This window comes from Homo sapiens, chromosome 4 (genome assembly GCF_000001405.40).
Source record: "Homo sapiens chromosome 4, GRCh38.p14 Primary Assembly".
NCBI lineage: Eukaryota > Metazoa > Chordata > Mammalia > Primates > Hominidae > Homo > Homo sapiens.
The window spans coordinates 68,324,918-68,343,652 of record NC_000004.12 but is presented as its reverse complement, the minus strand read 5'-3'; the positions used below and the strand labels follow the sequence as shown (position 1 = coordinate 68,343,652).

The window sequence follows — 18,735 nt, the reverse complement described above, 5'->3', positions numbered from 1 at the left end:
AGGCAGGGAGAATTGCTTGAACCTCAGAGGCGGAGGTTGCAGTGAGTTGAGATCATGTCACTGCACTCCAGCCTCGGCAACAGTGAGACTGTCTCAAAAAAAAAAAAAATTTTTTTTTTTTTTTTTTTAAAGATTTTAAGTGATTTTTTAAGGCCGGGCACGGTGGCTCATGCCTATAATCCCAAGACTTTGGGAGGCCAAGGCAGGTGGATCACCTGAGGTCAGGAGTTCGAGAACAGCCTGGACAACATGGTGAAACCCTGTCTCTACTAAAAATAACAAAAATTAGCTGGGCATGGTGTGGCGGGCCTCTGTAATCCTAGCTACTCGGGAGGCTGAGGCAGGAGAATCACTTGAACCTGGGAAGTGGAGGTTGCAGTGATCCCAGATTGCGCCACTGCACTCCAGCCTGGGTGACAGAGAGAGACTCTGTCTCCAAAAAAACAAATTAAAAAAAAAGTGATTTTTAATGTCTATAGTTCTCTATATAGACATCTAAAAAAGGCTTTCAATGTGAAGTGCTTTATGTCATAGAAATTAGGATTTTTGTAGTGCATGAATTGTATGCTTATAGGCCTTTTCTTAACCTGGCATTTCTAATCTTTGTTTACTGTTGTTATTCTTGGGTTGGGATACTACTGTCAAACTATTATGAAGTAATTGAAAGTATACATATCTCTATATAGAATATCAATAATGTTAAATTTCAGGACAAAGGAAATGGTTAAAAACGTTTGTTCAGGTAGGTTAAAAGAAAGTCAACCTAGAACTAGTGGATATTACTTTATATCTAAAAGAGATAATTATTTCTTTTCAAAAAGGATATGCCAGTGATGATTATAGTCTTTAACAGCAGTAGCTTGTGAGAGTATTAAAATGTTTCTTCTTTTATAATTCATTCTACGTTAAAAAAATGAATTAAAATGTATGCAAAGTGTACTTTTTCAAGTCAGTGAAGAATATGGCCAGAAGCAGCAGTTTACATTAGCTTTATAACTTAATACTATAAGCTTTAACATTGACCTATTTAAATGAATTTTTGTTATTAAAAATGCACCTCAAGTATATAATTAAAATATTTACCCTTAAATAAAACTATAGTAATTTTGGAAACATCTGTCATGTATTATGTATGACACTTCTGTCAACAGTGATTGGAATATGTGTCCCCTCTGTTTGAAGCTAGGTAAGCTTTTGTGATGAATAAATACTGTGATGGTGTTGCTGGATTTCTACCTGTTCCCGTCTCTGTTGGGACACGAGAGTCCTAAACTACCATGTAAAAGATCTGCCTACTCGGTGGTTGCCATAGTAATGAGTAATCACACACACAGAAATGTTGGAGAAGCTCCAGCTTTGAATCTTCCCAGCCTAGACATCAACGAGACTTGTCAATGAACAAGCCTTCAGATGATTTCAGCCCCAGCCCCAGCCCCATTTGACTGCAGCCACATGGGAGACCCCGGTTGAGCCCTGGAACCATGAGCCATAATGAAAGGTGTTACCATTTTAAGTCAAGTTTTAGGGTGATCATCTTATACAGCAGTAGATAATCAGAACATGTATGCATATACCATACCTGTTTTGTTGAAGAAGGAATTTTGTTTTGTGTTCTGGACCAGATTTTATATATATCACATAGCCCAGTCATTAGCAAGAGGGTTGGGGCAGGCAGGTTTTATTAAAGTCCAATAGTTATAAGGAAGGAGAGTCTTCTTACAGGTTGAAAAACTCATAGAAGATTCAAATGTCCTGCTTTTCCTTTCCCCAAAACTGACCTTTTTTAAGTGCCTCTTATCAGAGGTGAAGAATCTTGAACTCAGAAAGACTGGGAATTTCCTGATACCTAAATGCAAGCTATAACCTGCATTTCCTTAACCTCCAAGACTTTTCCCCTTGTATATTATATTCCAGTGTATATATAAGGAGTTTCAGTGATGGAGAAAAGTACTTAAAATTTGGTCATTTGTATTATATCAGGGGTTGGCAAAACTCTTTGTAAAGGGCCAAATAGACTTTGTGGGCTGTAAGTGTTCTCTGACATATTCTTTGCTTTTTTTTTTTTCTTGTTAATAAGCGCCTTAAAAACGTAAAAACCATTCTTGCAGGCCATTCTAAATAGGCAATGGGCCATGTTTATCCTGTAGGTTTTAGTTTGCCAGTTTGTGGTAAAACCACACAGTTTATTGATGTTATGGACTATAATACGGATAAAAGTGTGTACATCATTTAAGTGAGGGTGTTATAGTTGATTTTGAATATTTCAGTAGATTTTAAATGTTGTAATGTTAAAGATATAGAGCTTTCTGGTGCACTAATTTGAAATTTATGTTCTAGTATATATGCCCTTTTAATATTTTGCATTTGTGTTCTTTATACTTTGGTTAAAGTTGCTTTTATTGTTCCCCATCTGATTTAACTGTCAATTTCTAAAGCCGGAACTTCATACTAATATCCATTTGTTACTAGACAAGTGTATTTGGTCAACTGGAACATTTGAGCTTCTCTTTCTTTATCTGCAAAGTAATGAATGATTAAACATGCTCTATTTTATATGATTTGTATATATGATATATTTTAAAAGTGATAAAATTTTAAAAGTGACAAAGTATTTTTAAAAAGTAGTAAGCATTGGTTAATATTTGTTGTCTTGAAAAAGGTTGTAGGTGCTTTCTAAAACTACAACCAGTATCTGAATTTGAATTCGTTAAAACTTTAAAACAGTAATACCCCTTTTTATAGGAAAACCAGGCTTTAAGTGTGTTTGAAACTTAAATTTATTTAAATTAACATTCTGCAAAATTATTTCATTCTGTATTAAATTTAGCATGTCTAAAGTATATAATATAAATGTTCAGGGTTCGGGGATGATATTTCTGAATAAGATCTAGTGATTTTATGAAAAGATTTGTATAGCATTATTTGCCTGTTTCATTGTGATAGTCTTGAAATTTTTTCTTTTTGTCTTCTACAAATGTATTTGATTCTGTGAAGACCTGTTGGATCTACTTTTTTACTGATTAGTGAGCTTTGACCCAGTACTTATTAAACATCTGTAAAACATTGATTTACTTCTATCAGACTATTTTTTTTATAATTTAGAGTCCGAAAATGGTGTTTGCCACCATTCAGATCTTGAAGAAATTTTTCTTAGCAAAAACATGAATCTAGATGATGAGAGAAGCTTTTTTGTTTGACATATCTTGATTTTAAATAAGATTTTTTAAAAGTAAACAAAAATAAAAACCCATATAGCCTGTTTTCATTTTAGAAAAATGATAGAAAGTACATATCAGCATTGGTACCACCCAAAATGATCAATTTTGCTATTCCAGACATAGTAATTTTCAGATATCTTTAGATTGTGTCTGTTTCCAAATGTAAAGGAAAATGATATCTTTTCCATTTCCTATGTAACCTTATCGTTTGTATTAACTATTCTCTTCAGTCACAGATTTCTTTCCCACTTTGGGGAAAATTTGAATCCCATTTAACCTGTTTATAGCCCCCAGGTTAATTAATAGACCTTTCTGTAATTCATGTGGGCTTTGTTTTTTTCCTGAAGCCACAAATGTAATTGTTCTGTCTCATCAGTTTTCATGGCTTTATACTTCCTCTTTGGCACACCTTAAATTTGGAAAGATGTTTTTGATATTGGAATAGTTAATGTTTAAACATTTACTATTAGCATTAGTACATTTTAAAATTTAAAATGGTATTTGTGTGTATTTCTAAGGTTTATCTTGTTGGACAAGGTAGAAGTGGGGACAAAACTGAGTTTTATGCTTTCATGATCATTGAATAAAGTCATAGTTCCCTTCTCTGAACAAGTTTTGTGCTTTTACAGTCCACACCAGCAGGCTCTAAATGTTTTTTTTATTATATAGCACATTGATAATTTTTTCATTTAACTTGCAGTTTGACATAATTTCAGATAAGCATAATAGCTACAAGTGCAGTGTGAAGAATTTTCTTTTACTCTCCAAACACATTCTGCAGATGTTAGCATTTTGTCACATTTGTCTCATTCTGTGTGTCTGTGTGTGTACGTGCATGTGTGCACACTTTTTTCCTGAACCATTTGTAAGTTGTAGACATAATATATCTTTGTCCCTAAATACTTAAATATGTGTTATAAGGACTTTGACTTAACCATAGTACAGTCAAAATTAGAAAAATAACATTGCTACTTACTCTGATTTACAAACTTTATTCAGATTTCACCAGTTTTTCCAATTATGTCCAATATTGTGGGCTGTGTTCAGTTATCATGCCTCTCTAGGTCTGCTTTGATATGAAATAGTTCTTACTCTTTGTTTCATGACAGTGACATATTTGGATGCCCTTTAATTTGGGTTTGTCTGATTTTTTTCCTCATGTAGGTTCAGCTTTTCCATTTTGCATAGAACATTACAAAAGCATTGTTCTATTCTCAGAGCATTGTTACAGGAGGTCCATGATGTTGATTTGTCTCATTACTGGTGATGTTAACTTTGATTATCTGGTTAATTTGGCCTGTGAAACATTTCTCCACTGTAAAGTCGTTTTCCCTTTGTAATTGTGGAGAGTGCACATTTTTGGTAAATGTGTATTTATAAGTTGTACATACGTATTTGTATACTAATTTATTGTACACATTTTAAAGCCCTCAGAAATATTAGAAATTAAAGAATGAGGTAAAAATAGAGACATTCTTGCATTTTCTTTTTATGCCTCAGTATATCTTTTCATGCCTTCTGAGATGTATACTCCTGGCTTTGTAGACCAGATAGCCCAGACTTCTGTTTGTGTGTGTGTGTGTATTTTGAGAAACTCACTCTTATCGCCCAGGCTGGAATGCAGTGGCACAATCTTGGCTTACTGCAACCTCTGCTTCCCAGGTTCAAGTGATTCTTGTCCCTGAGCCTTCTGAGTAGCTGGGGTTAAAGGCATGTGCCACCATGCCCTGCTAATTTTTGTATTTTTAGCAGAGCAGGGTTTTGCCATGTTGGCCAGGCTGGTCTCAAACTCCTGGCGTCACGTGATTGGCCTGCCTCAGCCTCCCAAAGTGCTGGGATTGCAGGCATGAGCCACCACGACTGGCCAATTCTTTACCCTGTATTAGTTTTATAGAAATTAATCTTGTGTCTTGATTCTGAAATAAAAGTAAAGCTTTTTATATAAAAGTAAAAGCTCCTAGGCGCTTGTGGCCTCACACTTAGTAAGTACTCAAAAATACATGTTCAATGATAGTGATTTTTCCCTATTAATTTTTAATTTTATTTGCAGATGGAGAACTTAATGTTCTGGATGATATTTTAACTGAAGTACCAGAACAAGATGATGAACTGTATAATCCAGAGAGTGAACAAGATAAAAATGAGAAAAAGGGTATGTAAGAGTTCTATTATTTTTGTTGAAATAACAGTATAAATAGAGGAGATTCAATTTCTTAAAAAAAATGACTGTGCTTTTTTGTGCTTGTTCCTTGAGGCAGTTAACACTAAATGTACATAATAAACTGGTATCCATATGAATAGGGATAATCTGTTTTTTTCTAATATATGAAACTTCTCAAATATATGGTTTTATTCCCATAGTTGAAAGCTATGTTTTCTTTTAGATTAACTCTGGAGAAGAAATCTCTCAGAAGACTTTTAAAGAAATGAGGCCTATCCCCCCTTCCTGATGTATATATTATTGTCAGTCTTTGGTGAAATAAATGGAATACTACAAATACTTCTTTTTTTTTTTTTTACATTGTATTTTAAAGGATCAAAAAGAAAAAGTGATCGAATGGAATCTACTGATACCAAACGACAAAAGCCTTCTGTCCATTCTAGACAACTGGTTTCTAAGCCACTGAGCTCATCTGTTAGCAATAACAAAAGAATAGTTAGTACAAAAGGAAAGTCAGCCACAGAGTATAAAAATGAGGAATATCAAAGATCTGAAAGAAACAAGCGTCTAGATGCTGATCGGAAAATTCGTCTATCAAGTAGTGCCTCCAGAGAACCTTATAAGAATCAACCTGAAAAAACCTGTGTCCGGAAAAGGGATCCTGAAAGGAGGGCCAAATCTCCTACGCCAGATGGTTCTGAGGTAGTAAATATTATTGCAGATATAAAACAGAAAGCCATTCTTTTTGAGGCTTTAGAACTGTTTATTCACCCTGACCTTGTCTTTTATATGACTGCTGATTCCCTTTTTCTTTAAACATCAGAGAATTGGGCTTGAAGTGGATAGACGTGCAAGCAGATCCAGCCAGTCTTCTAAGGAAGAAGTGAACTCTGAAGAATATGGCTCTGACCATGAGACTGGCAGCAGTGGTTCTTCTGATGAGCAAGGGAACAACACTGAGAATGAGGAGGAAGGAGTGGAAGAAGATGTGGAGGAAGATGAAGAAGTAGAAGAAGATGCAGAAGAAGATGAAGAGGTGGATGAAGATGGAGAGGAGGAGGAGGAAGAGGAGGAGGAGGAAGAGGAGGAGGAGGAGGAGGAAGAAGAAGAATATGAACAGGATGAGAGAGACCAGAAAGAGGAGGGAAATGATTATGACACTCGAAGTGAGGCCAGTGACTCTGGTTCTGAATCTGTTTCCTTCACAGATGGGTCTGTCAGATCTGGTTCAGGCACAGATGGATCAGGTACTACTTTTTATATGTAAAAGTTTGTCTTAAAAAAAGCTTGATAGGTTTCAGTCTTGAAAATGTTTAAATTATAAAATTGTTGAGGAGATGGGGGATATTAATAGGATTGTCTTGTGATCCTTTATATGCTTTTGAATGTTATAAATACATTTGAATAATCTTGGATAAGATTTACATATTTTAGGAAAGGCATTTCCTAGCTACAGAATGGTTGTGTTGTAAATGAACACAAGTCCATTTGATTCTGTATAAGGAAATGTATTTCAGATTTCTGTAAATTCTTAGATTTTCATACCAGTCAGCAGTTTATTTAAACACTGATGTACTTGAAGTATATTCATAGGAAACCTGTCCACTGGGTATTACAGTATTTCCTTGGTAAAATACCCCTAGATTTCCATCATATGGCTTCAGAATCAAAACAGATTATTTCTTTTTTATCTCTGGGAGCACAGACTTTTCTTCTAATTTTGTGTCTGTCAGTTGACTGGCTGAGACAGGGTCGACAAGAGGGCTGGGGTGTAAGGTATAAGATGGAGATGAAGACTATAAATAAAATTCTTGTGGAAAAATCAGGTAAGAACCATCTTCAGTCATTTCTTCAATGCTATATATATCCTGCCTCTCTATACCTATGAGACAAAAATGTATGACTGTTACGTAGTTGGAGGCACTAGGCTTAGGGGAACTTTTCTTGGGGGAGGGTACAGCAAGGAGAGGTCAGGGTACTTACAGAGCACTATATGATGATTATAATCTCATGACTGTCTTATGTAAAGATGCTACCAGATTGCTACATAAGCAAAATGTACTAAACATAAGAAAATTCCTATTTTTTTGAAATACATTTACAGTTTATTATAGAATTTGATCATTTATAATAGTACATTGTTTTATATATATAGTATATATAGTATAGAAAAGTACTTCAGTTGCCAATCACTAGAAGATAACTGGCCATCTGCTCTACCTATACTATATACAGATAGTATATATCTATACTATATATTTTATACTATATATTTATACTATATGGATAGTATATATCTATACTACATACAGTATAGGTAGAGCAGATGGCCAGTTATTTTCTAGTGATTGGCAACTGAAGTGCTTTCAACCTTTTGTTCACTAGAATTCTAGGTTTGGGAGTTAAGATAGGCTTTTCAAGGGAGGTAGAGTTAAACAGAATAGATGAGTAGTTGGATTTGTTGTAAAAACATATGAAATCTTTATGCTTCCATCATGCCTTTTACAAACTGATAGGATATATTTTTTATAATTTAAGATAATAAATATTTCATTAGCAGTATGTGTTGAATGTTCATTTATTGTGGAGAATGTATGAAACCACTCCCTTGGGTAGGGAACGTTTTGTTGTAGGAATCTTCTTTTTGGTATCTCTGTTATTTCTTAGACTTTAATGTTTGTATTGTTTACATTAAACAAAGGGAACTTACTTAAATGGGTAGGACCAGAAATTGCATTTGTAACAGGCTCCTAGATGATACCATAGTAAGGTAACTTGATTGACACACTTTGTTTTTGTGGAGAAGACATTTCAAATTAAATGGTAACTGTAGTTTTATAATAAATCTTGATATCAAAACTCTGTTACTAGACTAGGTTTATTCTAAAAGAGATACCTGAAAGTTTTATTTTCCTTATAAAGGAAAATCCCTTATGTGGAACATGCTTTAGGTACTATATTAATATGCAGGAAATTTTTTTTTATACAATAGTTTATGAAAGAGTAATGGGGTGATTTTGGAACTTCTTGATTAAGAGACGTCAGTTTTTAAATAAAAGTGATCACAGTTGAGTTTCTCTGTCATGAATTTTCTAGATTCCAGTTCATTTTACCTTATTCTCAGAATTTTTGGTAACTTTATAAAAGCAACAGACTGATTGATAACAGTTTATTTATTAGATGATTTTCATTGTTCTTTTGACCTGAGAGTAATAGTTGGGGGAGAGGGCCATAAACTTAAGAGCATTGGGAGTTATTCATACAAAAATGATGAAAATTCCTTGGAGATTTCTCATGCTAATGCTAGGTTTAGCATTATATAAAAACAATTGAGTAGGATCTTCTGCTTCTGTTATTTTCCCTGCATTATCTCAGATCTTTTTAGTAACTTTTTAATTATTGTTTTTGTCTTTATATAAAGAGGGTCTTGCTATGTTGCCCAGGCTGGTCTCGAACTCCTGAGGTCAAGTGATCCGCCTGCCTCGACCTCCCAAAGTGCTGGGATTACAGGCACGAGCAACTGCACCAGGCCCTTTTTAGTACTTTGGACCATGAAATAATTCTTTTTTAACAGCAACAAGAGATAAATTACACTCAGTCAGATGCATTCATAATGCTTAGACTACTGAAAGAAATATCCATGGGGGAAAAATTAGAAGAAACATGTCAGAACTTTTGAAAGAAATAATGAAAAAAGCCCCCAAAACTAGTTAAACCTGTAATCACCTTTCAAAAATAGTATAAAACATCCTTTCTACTTGCTCAAGCCAGAGGACCTGCCCTTGAGTCTAGGTTCTGCCATCCAGGAACTGTGGGACCCTAGTCTAGTTGCCTAACTGCCTGTCTAATTCAAGGTTTCTTCATCTGTAATGAGAATATCTTGTGAACTTGTTATGAGAATTAAAGGAGATAAGTAGTTAAAGCTTTTTAAATAGCTGTCATTATATAGTAGGTTATTGTATACATGATCACTGATTATTATTTTTCAGCTTTCCATTGTTTATATAAAAATAAGTATATGCATTTTTTTCTTCCTATTCCCTTATCTCTAAGCTGAAAAGTAAAAGGAGCTTATCATGGTAAAACTAAGATAAAAATAAACAGATAGGAGAGCTGAATTCCATTTCAAGTCCTCATGTATATGCTTACAAAGTTCCAAATTAAGCTTGGGACTGGTTCTTACATGGCAGGTAATCCAAACCTTTTCTATTTACTGAAGATTTTCAGCTCTCTTACAGAAATACACAGGCTACCATTAAAATTGTAGGGATAAATTTTAAATTGAATTTGAAAATAAGAGCAGTAATCCAGGGAGGAAATGGCTAAGGAGAATGAAATAGAAGACACAAAAACAAGCAATGGCAACCAGAAGGGAATCACTAATTATGGTATATATATTTTTCCAGTTGTAAAGCTTTGGGTTCAGGGGTTCATCAGATCTCTTAAGATAGAATCAGAATTGTAATTGTGCTGAAGAATGGTAGTGGAGTTTAAAAAAATAAGGACTTAAGACAGTGTTACCTGGTGTGTAGAAAGGACACAGTTTTGAAAGAAATTGTTTTTGCTTTGCAAATTTCCCCCCCCGCTTGGAAAACTGTATTCAAGGCCACCTATATATGGCAATTAAGGCCCTGACTTTGTAGTTATTTCGTGTGTTTTTATTTGATTGAAACTGATGAAAGAAACAAGATGCCCGTACTTTTTAAACAGTATTTTTAAAATAAAACATTCTGAGGAAATTGAGGGATCAGGAGAGAGGAGCACAGACTAATAGAAGGGCTATGCAAAAACTAGACATGTAATGATACATTCTTGTTTGATTACTTCTCTTCGTTTCTGTATTGTGATTTAAAAAAAAAACTCTTGTTCTTTTTAGATGAGAAAAAGAAGGAAAGGAAGAGAGCTAGAGGCATATCTCCAATTGTTTTTGATAGAAGTGGAAGCTCTGCATCAGAGTCATATGCAGGTATTCTCATTTTGTGATCATATCTGACTTGATTCTAATGTAATCTGCTTTAGAAAGCGTGTGGAGGCTGTAGTTTAGTGTGAACTTGTTGATGTCCATTAGCACTGATTTTTGGCATGTTCAGTGTAATAATTCTAGAGAAAACTAAGCTTTTTCTTATTATTTTAATCCTGTTCTGTTACTGCTTAAGTGGAATTTTCACTTTTTTTTTCTTGGAAGATGATGATTCAGTGACTAGTTTTCTGAGTGGGAAACTGTTCAAATATACATACTTTTAAAAAAATCCAAACAACCCAAAAAGCAAAACACTCGTACACATTGAGAAGTTTTTTTTGTGTGTGTGGGTGCGCCAGGAAGAATAATTTGTCTTGAATGAGAATTTTATGTGACAAGACTGTAGAAATTTTGTCTTATCTCTATTAAAGCTCAATCTGAACAAATGTACTTTGGCTAAATACAGGTTCAGAAAAGAAGCATGAGAAATTATCATCTTCCGTTCGTGCTGTCCGAAAAGGTATCATTTAAATTTGAAATTGTTTTCATTGCATGCTGCATAGTCATTATTTTTCCTTATTGGTTCTCCATTAATAGCTGCTTTTAATGTAGTAATGTTCCGATATATTACATGAAGCAAAAAATAATATCTTAACATAGAAAGCTCTGTGTCTGCTTCTTACTGCATATTTTTTAGAATAATACCAAACATTTCAGGATATTTTAGTTTTTGGACAAAATGGGATGGGTGTGTGTGTGTATGTGTGTATGTGTTATATATAGATGTGTGTGTATATATATGTATGTATATAATGGTCTGTTATTCTTGAATCTGAGTAAGAAAATCTATAAAACTTGGTAACCATTTTCATACTTAAATATGGATTTGATATATCGGAACATCACTAGGTTAGGTTTACTTTCTTGCAATATGCTGATTGTCTTTTCTTAGCTTTGCTTTATTACATGTGGCTTAGCCTTCCAGGTTGAATGGGTGATTGTTGCGTTTTAAAAGTTTAGCTGGGTTGTGGAGGGCTAATTTCAGTTAGTACAGTTTTGACCCCTTTGTGTGATAATGGCTTGTGGTTAATCGATTTGGGTTTCTTTTTTTTTCAGATCAAACCAGTAAACTCAAATATGTGCTTCAAGATGCAAGATTTTTCCTCATAAAGAGTAACAACCATGAGAATGTGTCTCTTGCCAAAGCGAAGGTATTAGCATCAGTTCTGTTGAAACTATCCTAATATCAAAATTTTTAAATGGGAAAATAGACTTGTATTATATCAAGTAGCATAGGTATTATGATTTTCATTACGGCTTTAAAGATCTACATTCCAATGGCCACTTAGGATCTGGTTGTAGTCAGTCAGCCTACTTGTAATTTGAGTTTTCTTTTTTTTTTTTTAAGATGATTTTAGGGGTCAGAATATTAAATGTTGAAGGCTATACAGTTTAACTTTTTGCTGTAAAAGATCCTGTTTCTGTTGATTTTTGTTTCTGTACTTCCTCAGTGGCTCATTTATTGTGCTAACACTTCTAAAAGTACCTGTAGTTAACCAATTTTTGTTTTATGTTGATGCTTGATTTACACTTTGAGGTTCTTTTGAAATCATTCTTTTATGGAGAGTTTTATTTTTTAGAATTAAGATCATTGGGATTTAGAAGAAAAAGAATTAGCTTAAAGATCCACTCCAGACTTTGCAAAAAAGATATGCATAGTTGCTGTAGGATGTTGTAAGATAATAATTTTCTTTTTATGTTTGGCTACAAAAATACATTTTTGTGTTACACTAGCTGTTACAGTGTTTTGCTATTCTTGGTTTAAACTGAGTAACTACAGTTTCAACTGATTTTCAGAAACTTAAAACTAAAGTTAGACATTTCTCTAATGATATTTCTGTCAGTATTCTATATTTCTACCTTAAGGACTACCCCTAAAACTTTACAAACAGAAGGAAACAGTACACCAAATAGCCTTATTCTGTTCTCTAGCTTAAGTGGATTTAGGCAGAAGTACACTTGGCCCTCGGTATCCACAGGGTTCCTCATCTTTCGATTTAACTAACTGGATTGAAATATTAGGGGAAAAAGGAATGAGAAATAATAAAACAGAAAATACAAACTTAAACACAGTATAACAACTATTCACATAGCATTTACATTGTATTAGGTATAAGTATTCTAGAGGTGATTTAAAGTATATGGGAGTATATGCATGGGTTATACGCAAATACTGTGCCATTTTATATAAGGGACTTGAGCATCCTCAGATTTTGGTATCTGCATGGGTCCTGGAACCAGTCCCCAGTGGAGACTGAGGAACAACTGTAAGCACTTAGTTTGAATGAGATGTCATTTGTATGAGCAGATGGTGTGAGCTGAATGATAGCATCTGCCTTATTATTCCATTTCTTTTTATCTGTTATGAATGAAGAATTGGTTAAAATGCTTTAGAAATTAACAAATATCTTCCAGCTGTAGGTAAAACGTAGGCCTCTTCAGTCAAACTATTGATACATAAAAATTTGAACTTAAAAACTGCTTTAAAAAACGAACTTAAATAGAAAAATGCTAGATTCTTGACTAATAGAGTAATTTTAAATTATTTGATCAGGTACGGTTTTGCAAGAAGACTAACTTCTAAGTGGCGATTCACCTTCAAACAGGATGTATTTACCACAGTAAATGGTTGTAATATTAAAATAATTGTAGTGATTGGTTTTACTATATAGAATTCTAGTCCCTTAGATTTGAACCTCATCTCCATCTATTTACTACTTGCTTTAATGGTTTTGTAAAATTGGTAATTGTCTCCATTTTTTCCCTTAGGTTTTTATAAATTATTACTACGTTATTCTGACAGCTGATAAATAAAACCTTTCTTCATTATAGCTTACTTAAATTGAAAGCACACCAAAATATGTAGTTTTTTTTCAAACATAACTGGAAACACAAAAGAGTTGTAGTTAATTTCACTTTGTGGTCTTTATGTTATTTATGTAGGGTGTATGGTCCACGCTCCCTGTAAATGAGAAGAAATTAAATCTTGCATTTAGATCTGCAAGGAGTGTTATCTTAATATTTTCTGTCAGAGAGAGTGGAAAATTTCAAGGTAAGAATAAAAATAATTTGGACATATAAAAACATTAATTATATTAGCATCTACATATTATATTATGATATGATTCTCTTAGGGTTTGCAAGACTTTCTTCAGAATCACATCACGGAGGATCTCCTATACACTGGGTGCTTCCAGCAGGAATGAGTGCTAAAATGCTGGGAGGTGTCTTTAAAATTGACTGGATTTGCAGGTAAATTATACACTTCAGTATAGATAACTGAAATTTTGAATACACTACCAGTTTAGAATAATGTGTTAAAGTGAAAAAGTCACTGTATACTTATCTTACCTTGTTCAGTAACTACCTTTATCTAATGTGGGACACAACAAAGGCGTATTTAGTCTAAAGTTACATGTATTTGATTTGTTTTGTATATTAGTAATAAAGCAGTAAATGAATTGGACAGTTGCTTGAAATGTTGTCTGGCGTATCTGTATAATTTTAGTGATTTAACATGTCACTTAAGTTATTGAGGAATGGGAAATAAGTACTATGACTTGGCTAACAATTTCGGAGGTAACTAGTTTAGTCGTGGACAGTATTTTTTAAGGAGGTTAGCAAATGATGTTTAGTTGCCATTGTGATCTTCTGAAACTGAGTTAAGATTTAACTGTATTTATTAGAAAAATAATCAGGCTTATTTTGAACACTGAGTTGTCACTATTTTTAGGTCCTTACTGCACACTGAAGTATTGTACACAAGAAGCTCATTATTTAAGTGATCTTTACGTGGCATACACAAATGTATTACCTGTAAAATTAATTTTAGTTAAAAAGTGTCTGAAAGGAGATGGTTACTTTGTGAGTTTTAAGTTGTTTTTGGGTATTAGATCTTGATGAGCCTGAAGGGGTCGGATGAAAAAGAAGAAAAATGCTATGCATATGATGGAAATCAGCCTAAGCCAAGAAGAGCATGGAAACAAACTATGGGGTTGCAGGGTTGTGGGGAGCAGTGGGAGGGCATATGGATGTGTGAGTGGGATAGGGAGCTACCTTTTTTTATGAAGGAGATGGTTAGGAAAAGAGAAGAACAGAGGGCAAAGATGGATAAGAATGAATGAATGTGAGTCAGCCTAAATGTTTATTGTAGGATAGTGAGGAGCTGTGAAGATAGAGGGAGTGATATATTACAAATAGCATACAGTCACTTACTGTGTAGTGACATACCCATCAACAAAGAATCTTGTCCCATAAGACTGTAGGACTCGTAAGAGGTACCTATAATACCATATTTTACTATACCTTTTCTATGTTTAGATACACAAGTATTTTCCATTGTGTTACATTTACCTACACTATTCAATACAGTAACATGCTGTGCAGATTTGTAGGCTAGGAGAAACAGGTCATACCATATATCCTAGGTATGTAGTAGGCTATACCATTTAGGTTTGTGTAAGTGCATTCTGTGATGTTCACACAATGAAATCACCTAATGAGTGTATCCCTGTCATTAAGTGACACATAACTGTATTAGGTTGATAATAGCGTAGCAAAAAGCTATGTGCAGAAAAAATACTCATCCCATTATTACTTTCTGTGGGAAAGAGTTGGAAATCATCTAAATTCTTTGAAATAGAAAATTAGTTAAATTATAGTTTGTCTCTTAAATATATGTGGAAGTAATTGTGCACATATCAACATGGAAAGGTATAACAAATGAAAAAATACATAATTATGGTATTGGAATGCAGTGTTAGGTGGTGAGACTGTTAGTGCTTTCTCCCACTTCCTCTCTGTTGCCCCCAGGGGTTTTAAAATATAAACTTGGTTTTTTTGAAATCAAAATTATAATTAAGTTATAATTAAAGTTGAAAATCTGGTGACAATTTGTAGGAAAGGGAGTGATTATTTTTATTTTGTGTGTGTATGTGACTGCTCTGTAAAGGCCAGAGGAAACGTTGTAATGTAACATATTTGCAGGTGTTGCTTTCTTGGGAACAGGAGAGAAAATAATTGCCCATTTTTATGTGGGTTGCAGCAGATTTTGTTTCAAATGTTATTTGTTCTGTTAACCTTCATTTTTACATTACTGATAAGGAAATTCTTAATTTTAAGATGAATTTAATTTTTCATGGATTATTCATTCTTCATATTCCTCTTCATTGACTTATTGACTATTCTACTAATTTGTTTGAAATGTATCAAGCAACCGAAGAGGTAGACAGACTCAATTTGTCTATCCTACTAACGTGAGGTGTAAAATTGTGGGCAGTAAAGTGCTTTTATTATTTTAAAGTAAGTTTATGGGTTTACCTAGAAATAGTATTTTTACATAATAAAACTATAGTTTTAATGTTTTAATACTCAAGTTCTATTCAAGTGTAATTTTACAATACTTTACAGTTCTGGAGGGCTTGTGATATTTCTAACATTGATATTTCCTTAGATAAGTCACTTGAACTCTCTTGAGTTTAAATTCTCTCTATATAGTGAGAATTACATTTGAGTCTCAGAACATTTAAATTTAATAAATAGAAATGGTCAGGACTTTGCTATCAACAGTAACTGCTGTTAATATTTTTTTCTTTTGCAGATATAATAATTATTAGATTTATATTTAAGGACCCTTTGGATATAATAATAACTAGACTTAAGCTTTTTTAGGTGTGATCCCTGGATCACTTACATCAGTAGCATCTGACTGTTAAAATGCAGAATCTTGAAACCCACCTCAAACCTGTTAAATTCTTGATGGTTCAGGTAGTTGGTAGGCACATGGAAGATTGGGACCAGATAAGTGTCATGTTTTAGCTGATAAAGAGAGGGAGGCATAAAAAGCGACTTATTAAGGTTGCCACCTGTAATTAGCTCAAAATAAGGCATGATCTATGAAATACTATTCATCCAGAGTTACATTTACTGACTAGGTGTTATATTCCTTTCATGTCCATTCCAAACAACCCATTTCTGTTTTCATTTAGAGTCTCTCCATTTTTCTTTTCTTTTCTTTTGAGACGGAGTTTCGCTCTTGTTGCCCAGGCTAGAGTGCAATGGCGCAATCTCGGCTCACCACAACTTCCGCCTCCCGGGTTCAAGCGATTCTTCTGCCTCAGCCTCCCTAGTAGCTGGGATTACAGGCATGTGCCACCACGCCCGGCTAATTTTTTATTTTTAGTAGAGACGGGGTTTCTCCATGTTGGTTAGGCTGGTCTCGAACTCCCGACCTCAGGTGATCCGCCCGCCTCAGCCTCCCAAAGTGCTGGGATTACTACAGGCATGAGCCACTGCGCCCGGCCTCCATTTTTCTTTTTAACTTTAATCAACAAACCACTGTCCAGCATATAAGAGCCTCTGCATGGCTGGGCGCAGTGGTTCATGCCTGTAATCCCAGCACTTTGGGAGGCTGAGGTGGGTGCATCACTTGAGGCCAGGAGTTCGAGACTAGCATGGCCAACATGGTGAAACCCCGTCTCTACTAAAAATGCAAAAATTAGCCAGATGTGGTGGCGCATGCCTGTAGTCCCAGCTACATGGGAGGCTGAGGCATGAGAATCCCTTGAACTCAGGAGGCGGAGGTTGCAGCAAGCCGAGATCATGCAGCTGCACTCCAGTCTGGGTAACAGAGTGAGACTGTGTCTCAAAACAAAAAACTGTGCACAGTTTTACATTCTTTGTTAAATTTGCCCTATTTGCAGAACCACTTAGGTCAGAGAGTCCCTTACATGTTCTCAAAGAACTCACAGTAAAGATAAGTTGTATCTGTATGCTTCATAACATAGCTGCTCAGAAGGTAACTGTTAGGTTGCTTGTTCTATGATTGTGATCTGAGAAGAAAGGATAAAATAAGGATGCTACATGGATCACAGACCCTGCAATTTTTCTTAATTTATTCTGAGCCCTGTTTTGCCTCAGGCTTCACAGTTTTCTGTGATGTTCTGGCTGAGATTAACTGTGTTGAAACAGTGAACAGATGTCTCTTGAATCTAGTTGGAACCAGTGCCACCAAAGAATCTCAACCCCAAATGATACATTTAGCTTGGCCTATGCTTTTACTTCTACTTGGATCGTGGGTATTTAATTGCTGATATTTAAATAACAGTGATAATCCCATTAATTTATAACCTTCTTATATTTTGGTGGCTGTAGGTTTTCATTTATGCCTTTCCTATAACTGTTTTAAACTGGCAATTAGAAGAAAAATTTAAATTATTCAACAGAATACAAAGAAAACTAGATCTCTGCCTCTGGATATTCAAGCTTTGATGTGGACTTGTTCTAGTCTTTCTACTTCTGAGAGCCTGAAAAGGGGGAAAAAAAATTCAGTATTTTTGACTCACTCTTGATGGGTGAAGTAAGGTGTATATTAGAAAAAGAAACCAAGCTTTTAAGTGATACTTAGTGGATATTTTCATTACTCACTGACCACTCTTCCATGTATATATATATCACCTCCATCACAGAATATACCACCTTGTTAATTTAACTCTAAAATACTTCTATTTCCCTGGAAAATGTCAAAGTTTTTCCTGAGGTTTAAAACAAGTTATATAAGATCTGAGCATTCAGGCCAGGTGTGGTGGCTCACAGCTGTAATCCTAGCATTTTCGGAGGCTGAGGTGAGAGGATTGCTTGAGCCCATTTATTCACAATCAGCCAAGGCAAAATAGATCCAATCTCTAAAAAATTAAATTTAAAAAAAGGTCTGAGCAGGCAATATTCACTTTCAAGAAAATTCATGTAAGGTTATGTGGCATGTTCACTGGGCAAAGTTACTTATGTTTTCCCTTTTCCATTATGCCTGTGTTCTAGCCCTTCTCTTTGTTTCAAATGTATCCCTGCCTTAGTTCTCTACATAAGGCTTTACCTGGGTTTTCTTTCAAGCTTAACTCTTGTACCACTTCTTTCATGAAGCATTTTGTGATTATTTTTCTTTCTTTCAAAATAGATACAACCACTCCTATTAAAAACAAAAAAAAAATCTTCTGTATTGTGCATATAGTACCCATTGTCTTTGAAAATTGTGTGTGCTTATTTTTCTTCGATGGCTATGGAAGAAAGGTTAGGGATGCAAACTCTTATCTTTCTCGTCTTTGTATGTACTTTGGCTGAACAGTTTCATTTGTATTGTAAGTACAGTGAATAGTTCTTTAAAGTGTTTATTTATTTTGGCATTATTTGTTTTATGCACAGGCAGATAAAACCTTATCAAATAGTGTTAATTTACAATTATTTCTTGGCAGCTAACAACTGTTGGTTATGTGTCATCTTTGTATTCATGTGACATTGTGCTAGGTTGACAAAGAACTATAAAAATAGAGGATATCTTTTTA

The 18,735-nt window shown here is 34.4% G+C and overlaps 1 protein-coding gene across 4 annotated transcripts in view; it reads left to right on the top strand.

Annotated features, from left to right (window-relative positions):
* YTHDC1 (YTH N6-methyladenosine RNA binding protein C1) overlaps positions 1–18,735 on the top strand; it is a 39,704-nt gene that overhangs the window by 6,438 nt on the left and 14,531 nt on the right. For 2 of the 4 annotated variants that reach the window (NM_001031732.4, NM_001330698.2), the window contains exons 2-9: positions 5,269–5,370; positions 5,753–6,081; positions 6,203–6,626; positions 10,256–10,345; positions 10,806–10,859; positions 11,456–11,550; positions 13,343–13,451; positions 13,534–13,651. In NM_001031732.4, coding sequence (NP_001026902.1) covers positions 5,269–5,370; positions 5,753–6,081; positions 6,203–6,626; positions 10,256–10,345; positions 10,806–10,859; positions 11,456–11,550; positions 13,343–13,451; positions 13,534–13,651 — 1,321 coding nt within the window. The remainder of the gene's footprint in view (positions 1–5,268; positions 5,371–5,752; positions 6,082–6,202; positions 6,627–10,255; positions 10,346–10,805; positions 10,860–11,455; positions 11,551–13,342; positions 13,452–13,533; positions 13,652–18,735) is intronic. The other 2 variants (NM_133370.4, XM_005265708.4) reach the window with 1 other exon arrangement.